General features: G+C 51.2%; 6 annotated features.

Moving 5' to 3' along the window:
• Positions 11,040-11,259: an enhancer, noted in NCBI's record as "active region_24506". NCBI's record gives its function as "activates an Ori minimal core promoter by ATAC-STARR-seq in GM12878 lymphoblastoid cells {active_cell/tissue: GM12878}" and the evidence as "EXISTENCE:reporter gene assay evidence [ECO:0000049][PMID:35858748]".
• Positions 13,282-13,361: an enhancer, noted in NCBI's record as "active region_24507". NCBI's record gives its function as "activates an Ori minimal core promoter by ATAC-STARR-seq in GM12878 lymphoblastoid cells {active_cell/tissue: GM12878}" and the evidence as "EXISTENCE:reporter gene assay evidence [ECO:0000049][PMID:35858748]".
• Positions 14,281-14,980: a silencer, noted in NCBI's record as "silent region_17178". NCBI's record gives its function as "represses an Ori minimal core promoter by ATAC-STARR-seq in GM12878 lymphoblastoid cells {active_cell/tissue: GM12878}" and the evidence as "EXISTENCE:reporter gene assay evidence [ECO:0000049][PMID:35858748]".
• Positions 15,011-15,080: a silencer, noted in NCBI's record as "silent region_17179". NCBI's record gives its function as "represses an Ori minimal core promoter by ATAC-STARR-seq in GM12878 lymphoblastoid cells {active_cell/tissue: GM12878}" and the evidence as "EXISTENCE:reporter gene assay evidence [ECO:0000049][PMID:35858748]".
• Positions 15,822-16,321: an enhancer, noted in NCBI's record as "H3K4me1 hESC enhancer chr6:41396875-41397374 (GRCh37/hg19 assembly coordinates)". NCBI's record gives its function as "activates a minimal SCP1, AML or CMV promoter by ChIP-STARR-seq in primed H9 embryonic stem cells {active_cell/tissue: H9 hESC(primed)}" and the evidence as "EXISTENCE:reporter gene assay evidence [ECO:0000049][PMID:30033119]".
• Positions 15,981-16,040: a silencer, noted in NCBI's record as "silent region_17180". NCBI's record gives its function as "represses an Ori minimal core promoter by ATAC-STARR-seq in GM12878 lymphoblastoid cells {active_cell/tissue: GM12878}" and the evidence as "EXISTENCE:reporter gene assay evidence [ECO:0000049][PMID:35858748]".

The following is an 18,782-nucleotide window of genomic DNA, read 5'->3' on the forward strand; positions in this document are numbered from 1 at the left end:
TTTCAAACAGCACCAGATCCATTAATAGCATCAATTTTATTTGCACCAGCCCCAGCTCCCTCCCCGCTCCCCAGGGGCACCCGATCCAGAATGCCAGGCCCTGCTTCCTTTTCTCCTGGAACACGCTGACTCCCTCCCTTGGGCGCCGGGGGAGTTGGCAGGATAATAACCTGCGAGAGGAAAACTCTCTTCTCCCTGCCTTCTAATCTTCAGCGCTCACCAAATTAGAAAAGGCATCAGAAGCCCATCGGGCAGACTGCCGCAGGGATGTCATGCCATTAACCCCGGGCCGCCTCCTGCTGGTGTAGGCAGCTGGGGGAGGATGTTTCAGGCCCCCACAACCCTTTCCTGCCCCCTGCCTCTAAGCAGAAATGGAACCCACCCCCAGCTCAATTTCTCCATCACCCTACCCCTGCCCCCATCAATAGGCATGGACTCCCCTACCCCATCCTCCTAAGCTTCCCCATACCCCATCCCCAACCCTGTGAGTTGCAGGGATTTTGAGAATAGCCAGAAGGTCCCTGGACTCCTATCTAAGCCCTCATTTTATACATGAGAAGACTGAGACCCATGGAAGTGATGTTTGTCATCCTGTTCCTCCTTTAGGACCTCGCTCAGCTGGTTCATTTGTCCATTCAGCAAAAGTTGACTGAACTCCTACTCTGAACACCAGATCCCATTGTAGGCACTGGAAGTGCAGCTGGGAACAAAACAAATTCCCACCCTCATGAAGCCCACAAGCTGCTCCTTCCAGGAGGCTGTCCCTCATCCCCTGAAGGTGGGCTAGGTGTCTCCCACATGGGACCACAATTAGGAGCTTACTTGCCTCCCCCCTGGGCTGAGCACATACTGACAGCAGGGAGCCTGCCTTGTTCAACTCTGTATCCTCAGCCCCTGCTGCAGGGCCTGGGACATTTACATGTTCACTACATCTTTACTAAATAGTCATGACTTACACTCATGTAGCACTTACTATGTATCAGCTGCCAAGTGCTAAGAGACATTATTATTATTCCTATTTTAGAGGAGAAAATGGAATCACAGAAAGGTGAAGTGACTTGTCCACGGTGTCGTCACTCCCTGCCTCCAACCTCAGCTCTAGTCCAAGAGTCTGGCTGGGTGCTAACCCCAGCTCCCCAGGGAAAGGCCGATGCCTGTGGGTATAGGTCACCTCGAACCTAGTCTAGAGAATTCCATCACACACCTGGCCCTGCCCTCAGTTTACACAGGGGAACAAGGAGAGAGAGAAAATGACAAAGCCGAGGATGAAGGAATGAGAAGAAAAAGAGGAAAAGGAAAGAGGTGATTGGAACCCAGGTGGTCTGGCTCCAGAGCCGAAGACCTTATTGCCTCACTGTGAAGAAACGAATGTCACCAATGACCCAGATGCTGGGCTTCTCTGGTCATCTCTTCTCAGTCCTCAGGGTTAGAAACTTCTTCCCCCTACCTTTCATGACTCTCTGCAACTGCAAATACCACCTCATGCTTTGTTTTCCCAGTTCCAAGGAGATGGAGCCTACAGACAGTTCCTGGCCTCTGTCAGATCATCTCGCTCAGTCCAGGATATGCTGCATGCCCTCAAACCCAGAAATGGGGCTGGTGTCCCCGGTGGCCCTCAGACACTCACTTCTATCTCCCTGTCTAAGTGTCCTGCTAGCCCAAATCCCCCACTCCACCCACTTCAGAAAGCCTTGCTATGCCCACAGTACCATTTGGATCAGAAACAGGTCTCTGCCACCCTGGGTAACATCCAGTGTGGCATAGCCTGGTTGCTCTCTCTAATGGCTTAGGGCTGGGCACATAGTAATTGCTGAGTCCATGGCTGGCTTCTGGGCTGAATCTCCCTGGGTGATGCATGCAAAGCCAGGGCGGAATTCCACTTCCAGCCCTGCTATAACTTGCTGTGTGGCCCAGGGCAAGTCAGCCCCTCTCTGAGCCTTTCTCTCTTCATGTACTTTGAGGGTTTGGACTGGATGGCCCCTGGGTTACTTTCCTCTGTAAAATTCTAGCTTTAATTGCAAATTGTAAACTCCAACCTTCACAGGTCAGTGTCAAGCAGAATATCCTTCCCTGATCCTGGGTAAGGCTTGACTGCTGAGATAGGTAATAAAGTGAGAAGTGTCTGTAAAATGGCCCAGAGAGGGTACAGCATCTTGTGGGGGAGGAGGGACCGGGCAACCTCCAGAAAGGATCTTTCCATGGAGCGTGGGAGGTAGGAACAAGGAACCGGAATGACACTGAGTTGCCACCCTGTGCCAGGCCCTGCTGTGGGTAGCCTATATGTTGTCTTGTATTCAGTGCTCACAGCCTCCCTGAAGTGAGTGCTCTTATCCCATTTTACAGATGAGGAAAGTAAGACTTCTCTCCAAGGTCACAAAGCAAGCGAGTCTCTGAGAGAGAATCAGGGCACATGTGCCTGATCCCAAATATTAGACTCTGCCCATGGTACAGAGCTGTATCTCCTGGCTTCCCTGGACCACATGTGCCTGGGTGCCTGGACCTGTGTCCTGTGTCCTGTCCCTGTGCTGAACACCCGGGTGTGCACGTGGAGGTAGGGAAGGTGTGTGCAGGGGAATTGTATATACTCACACTATATCAATATCTGGACATATCTCACACTGGATCTGGAAAGCCACATCAGAGTGTGTGTGTGTGTGTGTGTGTGTGTGTGAGAGAGAGAGAGAGAGAGAGAGAATATACAAGTGAGATGAGGGGAAGACTGGGAAACCACGGGGGAGAAAAAAGAAAGAATAGTTGAAAGGGCAGAGAGGGACAGAGTTAATACGCAGAATAATGAGAGTGACAATCATAACAATAATAATAACAAGAATAACACAAACCTTGCCTTTTTTTTTTTTTCCAAGCTGAATGTGAGCTGGAGCAGGGCTGAGGGGATTAATCTCTTAAAAAATAAGTGCCGAGTGAGGAGACAGGCAGTGATTAAGGTTTTAACTGATCAGTCTGCATCTGACAGTGAACCAGCTATTATCTTAACGGAATCAAACGAACATTCAAAGCTGTGCTCAGCCCCAAACATGAAAGGAGATGTCATCTGCTGGCAGCTGGCAAGCCGCAGGGGGAGCTGAAGGGGAGAGAGGAATGGAGGGAGCGGAGGAGAGACAGAGGGGGAAAGAAGAGAGTCACGGTGAAGGACACAGGAAGGTGGAGGAAAGGAGGGCATGACAGGCTCCTGCGGCCCCGTTCCCTCCACCCACCAGACACACACACCATGTCCCAGTCCCCCCAGTACCCCACCCGACCAGATCATAGGTGCTAAAGCACAGGTCTGAGATTCAGTCACTCCCCTGCTCAGAAACCTTCATTGGCTCCCCACTTCCTGAAGGATAAAGACAGGACATGATGAAGGCAGGGGCCCAAGGGAGGAGGCTGTGAGGCTGTGAGGCTCAGGCTGGAGTCTTGTTTCCTGCGGTGCCTCAACCAGGACCCCTGCTCCTCTCCTCCGGCTCCAGCACAACGAAGCCTCCTTCATTAAGTAAGCAGTTCCTTAATGAATAAAGGAAATGGGATAAGGAAAAAGAAACAAGAAGAAAAACAGACAGAGGTGCTTTTGCCAGGCATTTAGACTGATTTTCCCGTTTAATTCTCCCAACCTCCAGAAATGAAGGTTATTCCAGTCTTTGTCAGAGAGGTGGAGCATCTTGCTGCAGATCCCACAGCTTGAAAGAGGCAGAACTGGGATTTGAACCCCGGCTTCTCTGACTCCAGTTTCTCTGCTCTTCTCACCTAAAAAAAAGTGGGACGGAAGAGCAGACAACAGGAAGAGAAGGGGCAAACCAGAAAAGAGCACCGAGGGAGCTCGTTCTTCTGGTACTTTATCCCTGAACATTAAGCCAAAGATGTCCCTTCCTGTCCCACTCTTCCAAAGCAAAGGCACTGGGTAAGGGGGACTCTAGAATAAGCTTGTCCCTGGGCCTGGACCAGCACCTAGAGCATTCAGTATTTGTTGGAAGAGGGAAGGAGGGGAGGGTGTGGTCCCAGGGCAAGTCCCAGCAGGGGTGGAACAGAGAAAGTTACCTGCTCTGTGGCCATCCCACCCCTCTCCAGGACCCTCAGACAGAGGAATACCCAGCCCTGAGGCTGTGTGTGAGTGTGTGAGCTCAGGGGAGAGAGAAAGGAAAAAGAAGTGGAAAAGGAAAGATTTAGAAAGGGAGGGAAAAAAAGGAACATATCTGGAAAATTAGAAAAGTTGACTCACATACAAGGGCCCTGTGACAATGTATTTGTGAATGTGGAGCTGACCCTCTAACCCCACTTCCCCTCTCTTACTGACTCTCTCACCCACTTGAGGAGACAGCTGTTCCTCAAAGAAAATAGGCATATGGTCCTCCGTCTTTCCTCTTTGTCACACACTCTCAGCCTCTCAGCCTCTCTCTCTCTTTCTCTCTCTCTCTCTCTCTCACTCACACACACACACACACACACACACACACACACACACAGAGTCAGTGCTGGGTCCCTGCTCACAATCTGCCACTCCAGGCCCATAGCCCGGCTTGGGCCACAGCCAAGCTTCCAGAATTGCTCCTTTTGGTCCAGGTAAGACCAGGCAGGATCCAGTCCAGGCTCTGGCTGTGGAGCTGGCCCTGTGCTTCCCTGGTGCCTTGCCCCTCCCTGAATACAGACTTCAAGGCTGGCCCAGAAGGGAGGAAGCCAGGGCAGAAGCCAGCAGCCAGCCATGGTGGGTCAGATGGGCAGGAGGCAAGGGCTCCCCTAGAGCTTGCGGTAATTCCCTCTCCAGGCTGCCAGTCCCTGTACTTTCCCTCTGCCTCCATTCTGGTTCAGGACATCCCCATTTCATGGCTGAATTGTGACAACAGCCTCCTAAACTGTCTCCCTCTCTTTAACCCACTTGCACACCACTACCAGGAGTCTCTTTCTAAGACATAGCCCAGATGGCATCCTTCCCTTGTCAGAAACCATCAATAGCTTCCCTTTGCCTGGAAGGATCAAGTCCAGATTGCTAAAGCTGGACTCAAAGTCTCCCGCAGTCTGCCCCTCACTCTCCTCTCTACCTTCGCTCCTGCTACCCCTACCATCCTCACCACCATCACCCCTGCCACCCTCTAGAAACATCTCCTCCTGTGCAAAGCGGCTCTCTGTCCCTGAGCATGACACGTCCGTCTTCCTACTTTACACATGCAGTCACTGTTTTTATCCATCTGGAGGCCTCTGTTTCTTCCCTCCACCTAATCTCTCCTCTCTTTAGGGGTTTTGAGGTTAACTCAACTTTGTTGAGTACTTAACACATGTCCAGCATTGTTCTAGTCCCTTTATAAGAAATAAATCATTTACTCTTCACTTGAGCCCTATAAGATGGATAGACTTTACAGAAAGGAAACTGAGGCAAAGAGATGCAAAGCGACTTGCTAAAATCACATAGGCACATCCAGAAAGTGGCAAAGCTAAGATGTGAAAACTTATCAAACCTTAGGAGGTTGGCTTCAGAATCTACACTTTTAACTATTACACTACTCTGCCTCTCAAGGGCACCCTCTTCCTCCTTAAAGCCTTCACTGGCCACCCAGCCCCCATATCCAATCTCTTTGTCCTCCACCTTCCTCAAGTATATGTTATCTGTACCTCTCATGGGTTCCTTAATTACACAATGCCTTGAATTAGTACTTTGATCTCTCTGTGTGTTAATTTTATCTCATGAACTAGATTATTTATTATCAAGAGTATAAACGTATAAACTGTGTTTGCCATTACTCTTGTAACCCCACCATCACCACCAGTTACCTAGCACACTGCTAGGCATACGGGTTAGAAATAAAAATAGCACCAGTTAACATGTGAGTGCTTACTAGGTGCCAGGTACTGTTCTAAGCACTTTCCATGGATTGATGTACTTATTCCTCATAGATGGGAAAATTAGAAAGGTTAAGTAATTTTCTTGTTCATGGTCACACAGACTGTGGTAAGTTAAAAATTACTACAAATTTTTGGTCATTCTCCCACTGAGAGGTAAAGTTTATTTCCTTTTCCCTTGACTACTTCACTAATAGAATGTTGCAGATGTGAGGCTATGCCACTTTGGGCCTAAGCCCTAAGTCAACCTGGAAGCTTCCACTTTTGTGCATCTTGGAGCTCTGAGATGCTATGTACAAAGTCTGGTTAGCCAACTGGAAAGACCATGTGGAGAAGAGAGGCCCTGAGGATGCCTGGAGAGCAACAGGTCCAGCCATCCCAGCATCTCAATCAGTCCTCCGCTGACTGCAGCCCCAGCCTCCATCAGGCTGAAACTCTAAGAAAGACCTGCAGAAGAATCACCCAGCTGAGCCCAGCCAGCCCACAGTCCTAGGAAAGATAGTACGATGGTTGTTTTAAGCCACTGTGTTTTGGGGTGTTTTTTTTTACATAGCAATAGAACACTAAAAACGGGCAGGTCCTGTTATTTTCCCCATTTTTCAGAGGAGGAGGAAATAGATGGAGGGCTATAAATGTTATGTGATTACTTTCCCAAGGTTGTGTAGCTTTTTAATTAGCAAGTGGCAGCTGAGGCTAGGGCCTAGGTCTGGGAAACTCAGAGCCTGAGGAAAATGAGTTGTTGCAACAGTTAACCCTCAGTTAGTTGCTGAAGGCAACAGGTTGTCATCGACTAGGTGTCTGGAAATAGCCCTTGACCAGTAGCGCAACTCATTTTATTCCTGAACCTCAGTGCCCTGCTGTACACTATGAGAGGAAGCGGAGAGCAGCTGCTTCCCAATTGTACACTGGGAGTCCAGGGCAGGGGGGTTGCAGTGGATGAGGTGGGACCAAGAAGGCAGGAGTCTAGTAGCTGCCTCCCACCCCCCACAACACCCGCCACCACCACTGTTGATCTGATTTCTCTATGGAACATTTACAGAAGATTTTCTTTGAAAAATGCATTGTGGTTGCAAAACTACTGGACCAGATAATTTCTAAGGCCCCTGCTAGCCCTGACATTTCAGGATTCCATGAATGAATGATGGGAATGAATGGATGGGTGGATGATCAAACTGCTATGGTTCCCGTCTCTGGATGAATAATGTGGAAGTACAGAGAGAGGGAATGAATCCATGAAGCACGGAGTGGCTTGGAATGTGGGGGAGTTCTGGAACTTGGCAACAGAAGGGCCGGGAGGAGGCTGCTAGCAATGGCTACGGGGATGAGAAGGGATGGAGAAGGGTAGGCTTGGGAGGTAGAGCTGGGGAGGCAGCCTGGGGTGCCTGCACTCACCATGAGAAGCCAGTGTGGCATCAAGGGTTAAGCACACATGCTTTGGGGCTAGCAGGCATGTGTTTAAATGTCAGCTCTATTGGCCGGGCACAGTGGCTCATGCCTGTAATCCCAGCATTTTGGGAGGCCAAGGCGGGCAGATCACGAGGTCAGGAGATAGAGACCATCCTGGCCAAAATGGTGAAACCCCGTCTCTACTAAAACTACAAAAATTAGCTGGGTGTGGTGGCGCATGCCCATAATCCCAGCTACTCAGGAGGCTGAGGCAGGAGAATCGCTTGAACCAGGGAGTTGGAGGTTGCAGTGAGCTGAGACTGCGCCACTGCACTCCAGCCTGGTGACAGAGCAAGACTCCATCTCAAAAAAAAAAAAAAAAAAAAATTCAGCTCTGCCCTTTACTAGGTATTGACCTGTGAACCGTATTAAACCTCTCTGAGCCTCAGCTTTCTCACCTGTAAGATAGAAATCATGAAACACCTAGCTCATAAGACTGGCATGGGATAAATGAGATAGATCAGGTGAAAAGCATAACCCAGTGCTTGGCACCTAGTGAGTACTTCATAAATGGTAGCTGTGCCTCCTTTTGGAAGATCTTGATGGCCTGGGTTAGCCGAAGCCCCAGTAGCATAGCTAACCTCAAGAAGCCCAGAAAGGTGCCCTCCACTTGTCTCCTGGTAAAGGTGCAACATGGTATGTGTTTGGGGAAGGCAGGTGGGAGGGATAAAGCAGAGCCTGAGGCAGGTGGGGTTTAGGGTGTCATGCAGAGAGATACTAGGAACATATGGCAGGTACCCAGATACTGCCAGGCCTCCCAAGAGCTGGAAACTGAGCAATCGGCTGGAAGTGGGAGAGAGCTGACCAAGCTAATTGGGCAATGTGAATGAGCTCTCTCAGTGGGCTGTTTCTCTTGAAAAGGCTGAGGATAAATCTGGGAGGCTTGGGTGCCATCCCACCCTAAGCTATACCATGAGAGAGTCATCCCTTTGGCTTGTGATGTTTCCCAATGCAAGGCAAATACAGTCTAGGAAGGATTTAACAGCTCATAGAAATTGCGATTAGACCTACAAATGACACAGGACAGGGCTCTCGGGTCAGAGAGACAGTGTTCTGCAGTAGCTGCAAACTTTGAAGCCAGTCAACTGGGGTTCAAACCCTGATTCTGCCATTAACCAGTTGCATGGCTATTGAGCCTGTCTGTGCTAAGTGCTGCGGAAGTAGTCATGGTTCCTGATTTCACGGCATCAGCAGTCTAGCTGGAGAGTCAGAGACTCAGAAAAGGTTGGCAGACCCCTTGGGTGGCGGGTAACACACCCATTCACATCAGAGAGTCAGTACTTGAGCTGGAGCCAAGGAGGATGTTAGTGCAGGTTCTCAGAGAGGTCTCCATTGACCAGGACATGCCAGGCTGGGTTTGGAGAGATTAAGGGGAAAGCATTTAGAGAGAGGAGAGTCTGGAGACAGGAACACAAATAGCCTGTCTCACCAGAGCAGGGAGTGGGGTTATGGGGTGGGAGTTAAGGTAGAGGGGCCTTAGGGAGCCAAGAACCTTGAATAAAGATGGAGAAGTTTGAAGCTCCCAGCTACATCCACTCCCTCTGGGCAGAGGCAGGAGTAAAGGACACAAAGATCACTAAGGAGGACAATGGGACTCACAGGTGCCTCTGCTGAGGCTGCGTCCACTCTGATAACCCCTGCCAGCTGCCCCAGCATCCCTGGGTCCCCAGGGTCAGGCCATTACAGGGCGAGATTTATCACAGGCAGGTGTGCTCCAAGACGGTATATTATCCAGGATTATGAACTGTAACAGGATAATCTCTCTAATGTAATTCAAGCTCTCGACATGGCTTATGGCTCCTTAATGTACCTCAGACTGAAGAATTACAAGAACATTCTCCCCCCCAGCTCCCCATGTCCCCTCCCTCCCTTCCCTGTCAACCCCTAAATGATTTAGGCAATTGCCTGAAGCCAGATCTTGGCATTTAGTCATAATTCAGTGCAGTTCAGTAAACATGACCGGCAAGGAGCTTTGCCTGCCTGTCCCTCTCCTACAAAGGCCTCTCCTTCCTCTTCCACCCAAATCCAGCCCCCAGGGACAGGCTGAGTGCAGGACAATCCATGACACTCAGTACCCTGGGACCCCCCCCCAAGAGACACTCTAGGTACCAAGGCTTGAGCTGCCAGGTTTGGCCTTGGCTTTCCCAATAATCCAGCACGATACTGCCCTGATGGCATCACCGTCTAGATGGAGAGGATAACCCCAGAGCAACAGAATAATGTCACAGCCCTGAGCATCTGAGGCTCCTAAGATCCTAAGATGCTCCAATTCTGTGAATCCATCTTGTAAACTCATGCCCCTTTGGGAAAACAGTGAAATCTTCTGCAAGCTGCACCAACAGAATGTTTTACCAAGTTTTACTTTCTATAGTTTTTCCCTTCCTGCAAAACAAAACAAAATCTTCTCCAGGGAGCTGTGCCCCTGCAACTAAAAAACTGATCTAACCCAATCTCTTTCACCATACAGGTAATGATCTTGTAACCCAGACAGAAGGGTCTTTCCTAACAATAACATTTACTGAGCAGTTACTATGTGCCAGGCATTTTCCTACATACTTTATGTGATTCATTCATTTAATGCATCCAAAAATCCTTTGAGTAGGTACTATGATTCCCCATTTTACTGATAAGAAAACTGAGGCTCCAAGAGGTGCAGTCAAGGTCACAGATATATTAAGTGGGAAGCTGGCACATGAGCCCAGGTAGCCTGGCTCCAGAGCCTGTGTTCCCAACCACTGCTCTACAACAACTGCAGGGTCACACTTGAAGTTAAGCACTTGAACCTAAGCACCAGAACCCAGTTCCAGGATTTCCTCCACCTACTGAGCACCCTGCTGATATATCAAGGGGATAGGACAATAAGATTTACTCCTGGCTCCTAGACAACATCAGCGTATTTTCATAGTGGTCCCAAGCTCCCCAGGGTGATCAGAAGACCAGGCCTCCCATCAGCCAGCCAGTGGAGGCTATTTGGAAGCCCCTCAGCTCAACTGAGGCAAGTAGTCTCTTCCCCTGCCCACCCCATCATTGCACCCTCTTCTGCTGCTACATTCTTTGTGGTCATGCCCGACTTCCCCGCTTGCCTTAAATAGAGAGCCAGAGGCCCCTCCAGGCTGCCAGGATCCAAGGAAGGCAGGATGAATCTCCCGCACAGTGGGAAGCAACCTCAGATTGGGAAGAGTTCCTCCCAAAGTCAACTCAATAAAACAAAGAAGTCTTATGGATAGGTGATTGAGTACATATTGAGTGCCTTCTGTATGCACTACATTGGTCTTTCCCTAATATTCTTTCTGATCTTGAGCAAATCACTTGGTCCTTTGGTAGCTCATTGTTGTCATCTCTGAAATGGCTAATACTAGCAGTGAGGAGTAAATTATAAGATGCAGGTGAAAAAAAGAAACTTTATAAGGCACTCTTACTTGCAATTGTAACACCACATACACACACACACACACACACACACACACACACACGCATCCCTCTGATTGAGTTGGTCATTTTGGATCTCTAAGTAGGACTGGATTTAGTTGTGTGCCCACCCTCACCCCTGCACCCATACCCCAGTAAGAAGAGAAAAATCCAGGTGAATTGTCTATCTTTAACCTCTGCCTCTGAAATAGGTTAGATCTGAAGTTATACCAGCCTCTCCGGATGCTGTCTTTGACATTTGGGAATCTTCGTCCTGGGAGAAAATACTGCATAGTCAGAGGCCCTCAGGGGATGCTGCCAGATGTAGAGGGAATTTGTCATCTATACTGTTTGCTCATTGACTTGTATAAATGCCTATGGTACTTGGGGTAAAGAAACCAGCACAGGAGTGTGTAGATTCCTGAGTTACAGTCCTGCCTCTAACCTCCCTTTCCCTGAACCTCAGCTTCTCATCTGTAAAACGGGGTGTGAGGAGGCAGTCCCAGGTCCCTCCCAGTCTAGCATTTCTTTGCAGGTTTGCTCTGCCCCTTTCCTAAGTCTTCAGACTCTCTCTCTTCTGGCCTCTTCCTGCTTCCTTTCTGTGCTGTTTAGCTGACCATCTCTAGGCTCAGTAGGTGCAGAGACCTGTTATTCCAGGAAATGCCACGAGGGGGAGCCTTCATTTGGATGCCTGGGGTCAGAAAGGAAGCCAATTTCAAGTATAAGGCTGGGGAAAAATAAAATTCAGTCAGTCCCAAGGGACCCCATCAACAGCCAGGCGAAAATAGGAGGGAGAGGGCTCTAAGCTACAAAGACCATACTCTAAGTTCTCAAAGGACTGTGATCTTGATGTATATGTTCATTCTTGTTTCTCAGTCATACACTTTAAGTATGTATGGTGGGATTATCTCATTTGACACTCAGTCTAATTCGTGAGTCCTGTAGGGCAGGTGAAATTATCTATGACCTTTACAGGTGAGACAGCCTAGTCTCTGAGAGATCCTAGGCTCACCTAGGGACACACAGCCAACATGGGGCAGAGCTGTTGATGGCCCAGGTCTTACTCTACATGTCCCCGCCCCCCGCCCCCCATGGATTTGCCCCAGGCTGAGCACACCAGGGATCTTGAGGGACACTTCTTGAATGAGTGAAGAATGAATGAATGTATGAATGAATGAACGAATGAATATGTGGGCCCTCTGGGCCTCCCTGGAGTAAGCCTTCTCTGCCATGCATTGCTCCACTCCAACACAGAGCTAACTGACAGCTTTGTGCCATTGTCTACCTCTCCCTCTCACCTTCTCACAATGTTCATCCCTTACCATGAGACTCAAAGCTGAGGGGGACTTTCAATGGGTCCAATTCACTTGCACAGGTGAGGAAAGTAAGGCTCAGGAAGGGAAAGTGACTAGCTCATTCCTACAACAAATACTTACTGAGTGCCTATTTGTGTGAAGCCCTGTTCTAAGGGCTGAGACTTTTTGTAAGCCTCTGTCTTCACAGCACCTCCAATCTAACAGAAGGAGATACACAAATCATCAGGTAAATATGCAGCAGGTTAGATGATGACAAGCGCAACTAAGAAAAACAGAGCAGGGCAAGGGAGGTGGAGAGCCTGGTGTGTGCATTGGGGTGGGACATTGGTCAGAGAAAGCCTCAGCAGAGAGGAGACCATTGTAGGAATCTGGAGGGAACAGCAAGTGCAAAGGTCCTGAGGCAGGAGTGTGCTGTCCTGCCCAGGGAACATCTAGGAGGCAGGTATGGCTGGAGTAGAGTGATGAGGAGGAGGTGAAGGGTGACAAGAAGGGGCAGAGGGGTGATCAGATCACTAGGGTTTTGTAAGGAACATTTTCTCTGAGTGAGATATACTGCTATTGGAGGTTTTGAGCAGAATAGGGACATGATCTGACTTTAGTTTTAAAGGGACAACCCTGGCTACTCTGTTGAGAACAGACTAAGAGGGAGAAGGGAGGCAGAGAGACAAGCTAGGAGGTGTTGCACTACTCTAGCAGGAGACGATGGTGGCTTGGAACAGTGAGCTCAGTGAGGAGGTGGTGAAGAGTAGCAAATTCTGGACATATTTTGAAGACAAAATAAACAAGATTTGCTAAGGCATTTGGATGAATGATGACAGAAAAAGAGAGGAGTTGAGAATAACTCCAAGATTTTCTTCCCCAGCAACTGGGAAGATGAAGCTGCCCTTTTCTGAGATGGAGAAGACTGACAGGTGGGGGACCGGGGTGGAGATCAGGATTTCCAAGTAGAACAAGTTGAGTTTGAGATGCCTGCTAGATATCCAGGTGAAGTAGGAAACTGGATTTATGGATCTGCAGGTCAGGAGCAAGATTAATAGTAGAGCTAAGAGAACAAAACCAAAATCTCACATCTCTCGACTCCCAACAGAGTTCTTTTCACAGTACGTAGAGTACTCTCCCGTGGGCTGGAGAATTTAAATACCTGCGCTCAAAACCTAAAACGCAAAGAGGAAATACGGTAACCCTGAGCGCACTACCCTAGCCCTAGCTCTAGCTCTAGCTCTAGCTCTACCAGCGCCAGAGCTGGAGGAGGTCAGAGGAGAGGGGCCGTACTGGAGGGGGCTGGCTATCTTGGGGAAGTTGGGTGAGGCCCGAGGGGGCCAAGGGCTCAGCATGCAACTGGGCCGGAGTGGGGGCTGCTGGGCTTAGGAGCGGATCTCCACCGAGGTCTGGGTTTCTTCTCTCGCAACGGTCTTGACTGTTTCCTTGAGCCACCGTCAGATATTTATTTAACCTCGCAGTTCAGCCTCCTGGGGGCCTGCAGGGAAGGGATGGAGGCAGGGCGGAGAAAGCTGGGGGAGAAGGGGAGCGAAAGAGGAAACATTTTCCTTTCCATGCGCAGGCCGAGCTCACGCATAGAGTCCCACCCAGGGCCCCCAGTCTTCTGGGGGCCAGCAGCCCCTTGGATTCCAAGTGTCAACGTGAGAATTCAGGAACCACGACAGTCTACCCATCTCTATTTAAGAACGGAGAAACCGAGGGGAGAGGTAACTCGCCCAAGGTCCCACGGCGAGTCCAGGGCGGCGCTAGACTCCCAGTCTCTGGGGTCTCTCCTCCATTCTAGCCCGTCAGATGAGCACCGGAGACCCTGTAGTGTCGGGGCTGGAGTCAGAGGACCTGAATTTTGTGCGAAGCCACAACATTTACCAGGCTTGTCATTGGGCTAGACACTTTGCCTCTCTGTGCCTCAGTTTCCTTGTCTGTAAAGGGCATCGCTCTTGCCCCTACCTTCCTTGGCTTGTTGCTGGACAAATAATGTTTTTTAAAAAAGCAATACCACCTGCCAATTGCTGAGCCCCAGTGAGCCTGGCACTGTCCTGGGCGCATCGTCCAAGACCTCCGTGTTCTCCCGGCTTTGTAAATCCCGCCGCTTCTCCAGCCAGTGAGAATGGGGGCTAAAGGGAGGGGTGGGGGGTGAGGCCAGAACCTGGCTGTCTAGCCAGAAAGAAGCCCCTCAGCGCAAAGCGGGGGCGCCTACCCCCAGGCCTAGGGGTCGGTGTCGGGGGCACTGGGAGAGGGGAAGCTGGGGGGTACGGGAGCGGAAGTCCCTGCTGGGAGGCCCAACTTCCCCTTCGCCCCTCCCCCCGGCCTGCCCCGGGGCAGGTGAAGAGGGGACCGGGCTCCGCTCCAGGTGGCGGGGCAGCGACGGGGGTGGGGAAAGGCCCGGCAACAATAGCACTTTTATTTGGGACTGTTTGGTTCTGAGCGGGTGGGCGGAGGAGGAGGCGGCCGACCCGGCTGCCAGGGAGGGGGCTGGTCAGCGGCATCTGGCTACACACCTGCTCCCGCTTAACCCTGTGCGCGCTGGGGCAGGGTGCGCAGCGCAGGGGCAGGGGGAGCGGGGGCGTTGGCAGCCAGCGCCGGGAGCGACGCAGGCTGCGTGCGGCCAGCCTCGGGGGCCCCGGGCCAGGTCTGGCGGTCTCGGAGAGAGCAAGAATGGGGCTCCCTAGTGGAGATCTGTCGAGGGGCACCACCAGGGCTAGCACTGTACCGCTACCGCTGGTGGTGGCTCTCGACCTGCGCTGGCCCCTTAGGGCTCCCTGGTCGGCCTCCAGCGCGCCAGGGCGGCTCGGGCGGGAGAGGGAAGGCGAGGGGTGGCTCCGGGGCCTCGGCGCTGACTCCCCGCCGCCTTCGGGGCGTTCCGGGAAGCCGGCCTTCCGGAGGCGGCGCGGCGGCCACGGCCATGCCAAGGGCGCGGGGCGCGGGCCAGGCCCAGCGGGCGGCCGCCAGGCGGGGGAGCTAACGCTGGGCGCGCCCTCGCGCACTAAACGCTTCCTGGCTGGCCCTGCAGGTGAGCCGGGATGCCCAGCACACCGGACCCTGGGCCTGGGCCTCGCCGACGCTCCTTGCCAGTCCGGCGCCCGGGAGGCCTAGCCCTCAGCTGCACCTGCCCGCGGAGGGACCCCCGCCCCCTCTACCCCACACCCCCACCCCAGGGCTGGCGCGCTTGCCTGCCGCACAATCGGAGCTTGTTTGTGGGCGGAGGAGCCGCGCCGGGTGCGGCGGCCCCGCGCCAGCCCACTGATCCCATAAAATATTATTTGTGTTTAAAAATTCCAGTAATTGGCTATGCAGCCGCTTTTTCCGAGCCCTGTGCCAAGCGCAGTAAAATCGCAGTCCGGCTGGGGTTATTTTCATCATGCAAATTCCCATTTCTGTAAACAGGGTTAAAGCCCCTGGAAGGGGCCGGGCTAGAACCAGAGGAGGAAAGCAGAGGGACAGATGTGTTCTCAGACTCTGGGAGTTGCTCAAACCCGGCCTCCGCTCCTGTGATCACCCGGCTGATTAGGGAGTGTTATTCAGATAATTCACCCAAACGCTTTCCCTTGCAGACCAGTGCCTGGACTCTACTGGTAAAATCTTTCCTTTCCTTAACTTTCTTCTCTTTCCCCATCCGATTATCTTACACCATTAAATCATGGAAATAAAATTCTTATCGCCTCCGTTATCACAGGAGCAAACTGAGGCCCAGAGAGGGGAAGAGACTTGCCTTAGGTCACACAGCAACTTTGTGCTGGAGCCCAGGCTAGGTTGCCTAACTGCGCAGCCATCGGCACTGGTGCAGGGCTTGGAAGAGGAGGATGCTGGAGCAGGTCCCAGTGCAGCTAGGGCAGCAGAAGGTCCCAGCTCTGGGCTCTGGGATGCTGTGGACACCCACCATAAGTCTTCCCCTGGGGGAAGACTCCCTCCCCCTCCAAACATACCCACTTCCTGTCCCTGCAGCCGCCTGGAAAGGAGGAGGAGGGAGTCCCTGCCAGAGCCTTGGAAACCCTGAGTAATGGACAGGGGAGCCTCTGCCCTGCTCCACCCAGTGATGGCTGCTGTCTGCGGCAGGGAGCCACTAAGAAGAGGAACCACACACGTGGGAGGCACAGATTTTTTAAATAGAGGCAGAACTGGAGCCCAGATTCTGAAGCTGAAAGGAGAGCTGGGGCTCCCAAAAGAGTAAATAATAATATATTATTTGTAACATAATATAGTACTACAAATAATATATTATTTCTGAATTGTATTGAGTACCTAGTATGTGCCAGACACTACTTCACAATTTGTCTCATTTGACTCCCACAAGCCTAGGAAGTTGGGCATAATATTATAAATATTATACCCACTTTCCAGATTGACGATACTGAGGCTCCAGGAGATTACGTTCCTTGCCCAAGATTGAATTTCTCCAGGGATTTCTGTGAATGAAAGACCACTAGGTTTCCTTCTGTCCCTCAACGACCTCAGGTTTTCCTACCAGCCAAGCCTCCTTCCTCCCTCCACGTCCCCCTGCAGTCCTGTGTGCAGGCCACTTTCTTGCCCTTGTTCCTCCTCCCTCCTATACTCAATCTTCCCTCTCCCCTCTCCCTCTTCAAACCACAGGCTCTCCAGCCCCTGCGGCTGAGGGATCTCTTGCTAGACAAGCCTCTTGTGATGCTGCACTCCACCACCCACAACGGTGGCGAGAAGGAAAGCAGCAGCAACAATAACAAAAACAGCTTCTTTTTCTCAATGAGGTTGTGTGCTTAGTAGTGCCTCCTCCGTGCCCATCCAAAGACACACACACACCCCGAAAACAGAGTCCAGGTTGTGCTTCAGTAGAAGGAAGGCATCTCCAGGGGCCTGGGATTCTTTCACAGCCAAGTGGGCGGCTGTGTGGGGCACTGAGTTTCCCGTCACTGCCAGTGTCCCAGCACAGCCTGGAGACTCCCAGCCCATGGTGCTGCCAATGAAATTCCTGTAGCCTCTTGCTCAGAAATCCATTTCAATCCTAAGACTCCAGGATTCCAGCTACACTACCGTATAAATACAGGGCCTCATTGTAATCAAATTGAATTCGGTTATTGTGTAAGTTTCGTGTCAATCTCTAAATAGAAATGCCTTCAAGGTGGCTGGTATCAAGGGGAGAAGGAGAAAGCACCCTCAACTGGGCCCAGTAGGAGGACAGCTTCCTGGGAGGGGGAAAAATACACCATGGGAATGGGGAGTGGGAGGAAGGGGGCTACTTATTGAGAAAGAGAAAATGGCAGTGTCTGGTGAATTCTAAAGGGCACTTGCTGCCAAAGACTCTAGTGTGAATTGTAAGAGAAAGCCAGTACCCAGAGTCCCAAAGCAAGCAACCCTAGAGGTCTCACCTCTCCTTTAGGGCTTCTCTCAGCCATCTGGATTTCCTACCTTCAGTCTTCCTTACTGCTTACTGCTTAAGTGGGGCCCTGAGTGTGTCATGCTCAGGTGAGAGGCCCTCCCCTTAAAGCACTGCAGAGAGTCACTGCCAGGGCCTGGACATAGGTTTTGGGGCCCCGGGGTATATGCCAGATGCCCCTTCCTGCCCATTCCCTGACTAACTCCAGATCCCAACACCTTTCCAGAGTCCGTCATAAGGATTTTAAAGTGGGCAACCGCCTCATCCCTCAGGGAAGGAAAGAGCCCCCCAGACGAGCTGAGGGCTCTGTCTGCAAGACCATCTGTGGCACAGAGGATCTAGGGGACAGTTGGGTGCAGAAACTTCCAGAGAGTTCACCCAGGGTGAAGCCACAATGGCTCCCTGGGGTGTGTGACTCACATGTATGATGTTACAGTGGGATTGGGAGGTGTGGCCAGCACCCTTGAGCTCATATTCTTTTGGACTTTGAAGGATGTAGATGGGTACTTCTTCCCTCACAGCTGTCTTTCCCGTGCTATCACCCCAGAGAGGGTAGGATGAAATGGGGTGGGTCCCATGACCTTTTGTCCATTTGGAAAGTGAATTTAGAGATCCTTCTCAAGGACAGGCACAATCAGAGATGACCGCAAGTCCCAACCTGTAAGGAAATACCAGTTAGAGAGAAAGATATACAGTAAAAAACCCACTGTGGTACATTAAAGATTTCAGGGCCGGGCATGGTGGCTCACGCCTGTAATCCCAGCACTTTGGGAGGCCAAGTCGGGCGGATCACCTGAGGTCAGGAGTTCGAGACCAGCCTCAACATGGAGAAACCCCGTCTCTACTAAAAATACAAAAATTAGCCAGGCATGGTGGTGCATGCCTATAATCCCAGCTACTCAGGAGGTTGAGGCAGGAGAATTGCTTGAACCTGGGAGGCAGAGGTTGCAGTGAGCTGAGATCGTGCCATTGCACTCCAGCCTGGGCAACAAGAGCGAAACTCCATCTCAAAAATAAATAAATAAATAAATAAGATTTCAATCAGCATACTTTACATGCCAGGTACAAATATGAGCTCACGACCATCAGAAAGGAGCGAGGGGCTAGGAGGACCTAAGCAAGGAATGTTTCAAGGTGAAGAACGGTTAAGGCTTTGAGAGGGCTTTGCATAACTGGCAGAATTTTTATCAGGCAGAGAGGGGGCTGGCAAAGTATTCTGGATGGTGGGAACAGCATTCAAACAGCCTGGAATACACAGACCTAAAACAGGAACCTGGGACGAGAGGACTAACTGGGAGAGGTGAGAGGAGATGGGGGGTTTCTGACATCTTCCCCAAACCCAGGAGCTTCTCTCAATCCTGGTTCCCCTTCCTGGTCTGAGGGTCCCCTCTCTTCTCTCCATTTTTTTTTCTTTAAGAGGAACGTTGGGTGAGCTC

Source organism: Homo sapiens, chromosome 6, assembly GCF_000001405.40.
Source record: "Homo sapiens chromosome 6, GRCh38.p14 Primary Assembly".
In the NCBI taxonomy this organism is placed as follows: Eukaryota; Metazoa; Chordata; class Mammalia; order Primates; family Hominidae; genus Homo; species Homo sapiens.